Source organism: Homo sapiens, chromosome X, assembly GCF_000001405.40.
Source record: "Homo sapiens chromosome X, GRCh38.p14 Primary Assembly".
NCBI lineage: Eukaryota > Metazoa > Chordata > Mammalia > Primates > Hominidae > Homo > Homo sapiens.
The window spans coordinates 37,537,694-37,545,946 of record NC_000023.11 but is presented as its reverse complement, the minus strand read 5'-3'; the positions used below and the strand labels follow the sequence as shown (position 1 = coordinate 37,545,946).

Genomic DNA, 8,253 nt, shown 5'->3' with positions numbered 1-8,253 from the left:
ATTCTCAAAACGAAATATGATATCCAGCAACACAATTTAAAAATGGAAAAGAAATTGTACAGAAACTTCACCCAAGGAAAGATAAAGATTGCAAATAAGCAAATATACAGATGTTCAATTCCAGTAGTCATTATGAAATGCAAATAAACACCACAATGAGATTCCACTAAACACCTATTAGAATGGCCAAAATTAAAATGACTAACCATACCAAGTGTTGGATCATAGGTGAAAAAACTGCAATGCTCCTACACTAGTAGAAGGAATATGAAATAGTGTAAATACTTTGTAAAAGTTTGGTCGTTTCTTAAAAACGTTAAACATACACCTATGATATGATCCCGCCATTGGACTCCTAGCTAAAATTTATCCAGGAGAAATGAAAGTATATGTACGTACGAAGACATGGACACAAATGTTCATAGAATATTTGTCATAGTCCAAAACGGGAAACAACCGAAATGTCCATCCAAAGGCGAATGGAAAAAGAAACTGCGCTCTGTCCATCCCATGGACCACACACCATGGAATGAGCAGGGGCTTGGGCACTCCGTTGCTGACCATACCCTGGAGAATCCAGGCTGCGCAGATGGCGTCTCCGCTGCCCCTCTTCGAGGAAGAACCTGGGCTGCGCGTGGCTCGCGGTCTCCTAGCGACTAGAGTGGCAGGGATCAGGAACCGCGGGAACTGGAGAGATGGCACCCCAGCGAGGGCCACCATGGGGGACCAGAGGCCGCGGGACCGGCCGAGGTCCCCGGGCATGGACTGCAAGCCCTGGTACTGTGACAAACCGCCTTCCAAGTACATCGCGAAGCGTAAGCACAGGCGCCTGAGGTTCCCGCCAATGGACACCCAGAACTGAGTATTTGGTTTTTATTATTATTATTATTATTGTTATTATTATACTTTAAGTTCTAGGGTACATGTGCACAACGTGCAGGTTTGTTACATATGTATACATGTGCCATGTTGGTGTGCTGCACCTGTTAACTCGTCATTTACATTAGGTATATCTCCTAATGCTATCCCTCCCCCAACCCCACAACAGGCCCCCGTGTGTGATGTTCCCCTTCCTGTGTCCAAGTGTTCTCACTGTTTAATTCCCACCTGTGAGTGAGAACATGCAGTGTTTGGTTTTCTGTCCTTCTGATAGTTTGCTCAGAATGATGGTTTCCAGCTTCATCCATGTCCCTACAAAGGACATGAACTCATCCTTTTTTATGGCTGTATAGTATTCCATGGTGTATATGTGCCACATTTTCTTAATCCAGTCTATCATTGATGGATATTTGAGTTGGTTCCAAGTCTTTGCTATTGTGAATAGTGCTGGAATAAACATACATGTGCATGTGTCCTTATAGCAGCATGATTTATAATCCTTTGGGTATATGCCCAGTAATGGGATGGCTGGGTCAAATGGTATTTCTAGTTCTATATCCCTGAGGAATCGCCACACTGTCTTCCACAATGGTTGAACTTGTTTACAGTCCCACCAACAGTGTAAAAGTGTTCCTATTTCTCCACATCCTCTCCAGCACCTGTTGTTTCCTGACTTTTTAATGATGGCCATTCTAACTGGTGTGAGATGGTATCTCATTGTGGTTTTGATTTGCATTTCTCTGATGGCCAGTGATGATGAGCATTTTTTCATGTGTCTGTTGGCTGCATAAATGTCTTCTTTTGAGAAGTGTCTGTTCATATCCTTTGCCCACTTGTTGATGGGGTTGTTTGATTTTTTTCTTGTAAATTTAGAACTGGGTATTTGTAAAGGAGAGCATGGACAGCTTCCACTATGGCTGTCCGTCTCCCGAAGATATGCTCATTTGTAGACTTAACGAGTTCTTACTCCCCAAAATCTCTCACAGAGGTCCCCAAGCTGACCCGAAAAGCAGGCAGAAAAAGCTGCTCAAGAAAGTGGCCCTGTTTTCCAAGCTCTTGCCAGCCCAGCCAGCATGGAAGGCATTTGTAGAGGAAGCCCAGCTGATGGCCAAGCATCCCTTGGCCATGTACCCCAATCTGGGAGAAGATATGCCTCCAGATCTCCTACTACAGGTGCTGAAACCGCTGGATCCTGAGAGGCAGCTGGAGGACGCATGGGCTCGTGAGGGCTGGAAGAAGACAACCAAGGCACCCACCGAGCCTGGTAAATACCCCTGTGGGGAATTCTGCCCGAGGCCTCCTGAGACTCAGGTGTTCCATCTCCACCCGGAGCCTCCCAAGACTCCGGTGTCCAGTCTCACCCAGAGCCTCCTGAGACTGGAGTGTCCTATCTCTGCCCAGAGCCTCCCAAGACTCATTGGGTCTCCAGCCTCTGCCCGGAGCCCCCCGAGACTGGAGTGTCCCATCTCCGCGCAGAGCCTGCCAAGACTCGTCGGGTGTCCGGTCTCCGCCCGGAGCCTCTCGAGACTGGAGTGTCCCATCTCTGCCCGGAGCCTCCCGGGACTCGCGTATCTCATCTCTGCCCGGAGCCTCCCAAGACTCTTCAGGTGTCCAGTCTCTGCCCGGAGCCTCCCAAGACTCGTCGGATGTCCAGTCTCCACCCGGAGCCTTCCAAGACTGGAGTGTCTCATCTCCGCCTGGAGTCTCCCAAGACTCGTGGGGTGTCCAGTGTTCTCCCGGAGCCTCCCAAGACTCGTCGGGTGTCCAGTCTCTGCCCAGAGCCTCCCAAGACTGCAGTGTCTCATCTCCGCCTGGAGCCTCCCAAGACTCGTCGGGTGTCCAGACTCTGCCCGGAGCCTCCCAAGACTGGTCGGCTGTCCAGTGTCCGCCCGGAGCCTCCCAAGAATCGTCGGGTGTCCAGTCTCTGCCCGGAGCCTACCAAGACTGCAGTGTCTCATCTCTGCCCCAAGCCTCCCAAGACTCAACGGGTGTCCACTCTCCACCCGGAGCCTCCCAAGATTCTTTGGGTGTCCAGTCTCTGCCCAGAGCCTCCCAAGACTCGTCGGGTGTACAGTCTCCGCCCAGAGCCCCCCAAGATGCAGGTGTCCAGCCTCCACCCGGAGCCCCCCAAGACGGAGGTGTCCAGTGTCTGCCCAGAGCCTCCTGAGATTGGAGTGTCCCATCTCCACCCGGAACCTCCCAATACTCATCGAGTGTCCAGTCTCCTACTACAGGTGCTGAAACTGCTGAATCCTGAGAGGAAGCTGGAGGACGAATGGGTTCATTGTGAGGGCCAGGAGAAGACAACCAAGGAACCCACTGAGCCTGGTAAATACCCTTGTGGGGAATTCTGCACGAGGCCTCCCGAGTCTCAGGTGTCCCATCTCTGCCTGGAGCCTCCCAAGACTCCAGTGTCCAGTCTCTGCCCTGGGCCTCCCAAGACTGGAGTGTCTCATCTCTGCCCAGAGCCTCCCAAGACTCAGGTGACCAGTCTCCACCCAGAGCCTCCTGAGACTGGAGTATCCCATCTCCACCCAGAGCCTCCCAAGACTCGGATGTACAGTCTCCACCTGGAGCCTCCCGAGACTGGAATGTCCCATCTCTGCCCAGAGCCTCCCAAGACTCTGGTGTCCAATCTCCACCTGGGGCCTCCTGAGACTGGAGTGTCTCATCTCTGCCTGCAGCCTCCCAAGACTCCAGTGTCCAGTCTCTGCCCGGGGCCTCCCAAGACTGGAGTGTCTCATCTCTGCCCACAGCCTCCCAAGACTCTGGTGTCCAGTCTCCGCCTGGGGCCTCCTGAGACTGGAGTGTCTCATCTCTGCCCAGAGCCTCCCAAGACTCGGGTGTCCAGTCTCTGCCCAGAGCCTCCCGAGACTGGAGTGTCCCATCTCTGCCCGGAGCCTCCCGAGACTCATCGGGTGTCCAGTCTCCGCCCGGAGCCCCCCAAGATGCAGGTGTCCAGTCTCTGCCCGGAACCTCCCAAGACTGTAGTGTTCCATCTCCGCCCAGAACCTCCCAACCTCCCAACACTAGTTGGGTGTCCAGTCTCCTACTACAGATGCTGAAACTGCTGGATCCTGAGAGGAAGCTGGAGAAGGCATGGGCTTATTGTGAGGGCCGGGAGAAGACAATCAAGGAACCCACCAAGCCTGGTAAATAGTCTTGTAGGGAATTCTGCCTACGGCTTCCAGAGACTCAGGCATCCCATCTTTGCCCTGAGCCTCCCAAGACTCGTCAGGTGTCCAGTCTCCGCCCGGAGCCTCCCAAGACTAGAGTGTCCCATCTCTCCCCAGAGCCTCCCAAAGCTCCAGTGTCCCATCACTTCTTGGAGCCTCCCAAGATTCGAGCGTCCTGTCTAAAAGAACTGCTTCAGGAAGATACACCAAGCACAACAGAATGTGTTTCTGACTCTCTTCAACATAGATACACATCGAGAAAAATGCATGACTTCAAGTGGGCTCGAGACATGGGAGTTGATGAAGAATCCATCAGGAATCTGTTTGACTTTACCCCCAAGTGGAGAGCAACCTATGAAGACCAACAGATTAAGAAGATAAAAGAATGGGTCTCAGAGCTGCAATACAGAATAAAGCTAGATGAAATGGATGAGGTCGAATCCTCACAGGAAAAAGACTGGGACAGGAAACTCCAGATGGCACCGAATTCTTACACTGCACAGTGTGTGAAGATGAGGTATGGAGTATGGTACCTTAAGCCTAAGCTGGGGAAAAAGCTAAGAAGTGATCAACCTTTGATTGACCCCAAGCTCTTACTTGAAAAGCCAGATGAACCCGATATTCTTGACGATCTTTATGGACCAATTGCCTTTAAGGATTTCATTCTAAGCAAGGGCTATGAAATGCCTGGCATCATTGAAAGGCTGTGTGCCAGGAAGGGATGGACTTATGACTCTGTTAAGACTCCTGTTCAACGTGCAATGAGACTTTACAAGTAGAAAGAAGACGTCACAGACGTATCGGAAGAAGATTAGATGGTTTTCAATTTACTACTTAATTGGGTATTTCTTGCTCTCATTTTAAACATCAATCAGAATTTATGATGACTGGCCCTGTAGATGTACAACTTTGGCAACATCTGTAAATTCAATACCTAATGTTTATAAATATTTCTTAATGACCTGCTTTGGCTTCATTATTTCATATATTTTATCAATTATGTGATTAATATTCACATATACTTTTTCACATTTTTGAAGCATTGTGAATATTACATTATCATGTCAATTATTTGTAAAAATACATAAAACCAGAAATAAAAGAATTATTCTTAAAAACAGAAATGGAGTTGGGCACATTGGCTCATGCCTGTAATCCCTCCCCACTTTGGGAGGCCCAGGTGGATGGATTGCTTGAGCCCAGGGGTTCAAGACCAGCCTGGGCAACATGGTGAAACCTGGTCTCTACAAAAAATACAAAAATCAGCCAGGCATGGTGGTGCGCACCTGTAGTCCCATCTACCCAGAGGGCTGAGGTGGGAGGATTGCTTCAGCTCAGGAGGTTAAGACTGCAGTGAGCCATGATCATGCCACTGCACTCCAGTCTGGGCAACAGAGCAAGACCCCCTCGCAAAAAACAAACAAACAAACAACAACAACAACAAAAACACCAAAATGTGCTGAGTAAAACGAGAACTTATAACTCTATTTATATTGAAATTGTAATGAAATAATTATGACAATTATTTTGTTAACCAAAAATTGGAGTCTATAGCCAAATTAATGTTAACAATTTTTAATAGTAAAATTGTTATCTTCCCCTTTGGGATTACATCAAACCCCCAAAACTGGTTTGAAAACTATTTATCAAAATCATAGTTGAAACTTGAGTTATGCCATTTTATCATCTCAATTGAATGTATGCATTTCACCATGTTCATAAACCTTCACTACAAAAGACTATTACCAAATCATATAAACAGGTGCAGAATAGGAGGTAGCTTCAACTCCCTGGCAAATCTCATGTGCAAAATAGATCTGTATGAGAAAAGCTACCAAGCAACATCAAGTATCCTTACATATCTGTCCAAGTTCAAATAATTTTCATTTCATTCTTAGCAATTTAAAATGCACTCATAAGTTTAAAGTAATAAATTAAGCAACTGCTTTACTTTTAAAACATAGCAGGTAAAACTGTCTGGTATAGGTAAATTTGTAGGTAAATATATCTGTAGTGTAGATCTGAAGTGCACTTTTTCTTTCAGAGATGAAAGAGTCCATCTGTAAATGGGCATATATGCATATATTTCATCCAAGTAAGCAGTGAGATATACATCTGTCTATGTGCAAATTCTATTTCTAGTGAAGTTTTTCTGTGGACATTGTGTTCCTGAAGAACCAAGTCTTTTTTTATGTTGCTTTCTAAGCCAAGGCCTATAATTTCTCTTCAAATTCATCATCATAAACTTAGGTTCATGTCACCACTATCTCTTATTGTATTTCTGCAATAATTTCCAACCCATGTCTCTTCTTGAGTGTATTTTTGTAAAACACAAGCATGGCTTGTTAATTCTCCAGGCTAAACTTATCTAGGTACATAAACACTCACACACACATGCACACACATACACACACATGCTCCTGCATTCCAGACTCCAGTCAATATTCCTTTTCTTATCTTTGTGTCTTTGTACCTAATCTTTTGTATTGTTAGGACTTCACTCAGGCCATGTAATCCTGTTTCATTGCTCTCCCCACCAAGGTCAATTTCATGATTACTTTTATTAAGACCTTATGTCTGTAGACAAAGACACTCATTTTCCAGTTTTCTTCCACTGAAGAACTTACATCGGTATCCTAGAGAAATGAGTCATTAATGCCTTCAAAATCTGGGAAATCCCCATACATATTATTCAGACTTCTGGGAGGCCAATATCATGCCATATGGCTCAGAGTTACTGGTTTCTGAGGTTGTCCACTGAAGCCTTGGGCTTCATGCAGCAGCATCCAATGTTCAGTTCCTTTCAGCAAGAGACAGACCTACTTTTTCACATTTGGTTATGTGACCTTGCACTTCACGGAGGATGTATCCTCATCTACACAATGGACACCATATCATCAAACTCAAATTCTGGTGGGACTTAAAGGATTACTTATTGTAGTGCCTAATGCCTCAGGCATCATTTAGTTTAGAATTAATACTAAACCTATATTTGTGGAAGAGGAGGATGGAGTTGGAAAGGAAGAAGGATACTAAAAAATCAAAACCCAAAGACACTATAAAAAATAACTTTTTGATGGTGTTTATCTGGTGATAGCCTTCACCTATATCACACACAGTCTTAGCCATTGCTTAACATGAAAAAGTGGTGTTTGCTTTGGCTGCACATATACTAAAATTAAGATGAAAAAGTGTAATTGCAAAATAAGAGCCACTGGTTAGGGTTTCTATTGCTTATTGGTAACGGCTACTTCCAGTGAAATAAACTTTCCTCAGAAATTATGTGGGTTTTTCCACATTGTAATTACACCCATTGGTATTAGTTGTCACACAGATATAAACAGAAACGATGTTTGATCTATTTGGATTTTTAACACCAGTTGGACTTCTGAAAATATCCTGACTTCAAATTCATAGGTTTTAGAAAGAGAGAGAATTCAAGAGAGCTTGATATGTAGCTGTGCCTGTGTAGCCTAAAGCTATGAATGGTATATTTCATAAATACTGTAGTAATCAATGGTATTACAGCATCACATAGGTTTCATAAAAGCTTTGGAGAATTTGTCTGTAGGAACATGTGATTTAACAAAGATGAAGGGAATTATTTTTCATTTCTGAGAGTCTGCATGAATGAGCAAGGCCTTTGGAGATAAGCAGAAATGAGTTCATATCCCAGTGCTGCCATGTTCTTATCCTGTAGTTGTAAGCAGAGCAGACGGAGGGAAAACGTGGAGGCTGGGCTGAAGTGGGAGGAAGCTAGGAACACTTCCCAGGGTTATTGCGCACTGGAACGTGTTCCTGGCCCCCAATGACTCCGACAGAGGGGGTGAGTTTAACAGGCAAGGAGCAACACACTCTCATTGTGGGCCTTTGAAATCTCAGCAGGAGGACACCCCTCGACCACCACGGACACTTGAGTTGGCAGGGAAAGTTACTTAGAGAAGTAGTAGGGGCAGAACTCCAGCCAGGGGCAGAGAACAGAGGTTGTCCTGTGGAAGCAACTGTAGTGGAGAACAGTCAGAGATGTGCATCCCCCTAGGCTAGATTTGCTCCCATAGGAGACTTAACCCTAGGGGACCTTTCAGACCTGAACTCTACAGGGCAGTCTTACCCATGAGACAGATCTAGTCCAACCTGAGCACCTCTCAGTCTGCTGGCCTCTTGTGGGGCCCCAGCCTGGCCACAACTGCTTGCAGCA

The 8,253-nt window shown here is 46.2% G+C and overlaps 1 pseudogene; it reads left to right on the top strand.

Moving 5' to 3' along the window:
• Window positions 688–5,016, top strand: FAM47DP (family with sequence similarity 47 member D, pseudogene; annotated as a pseudogene).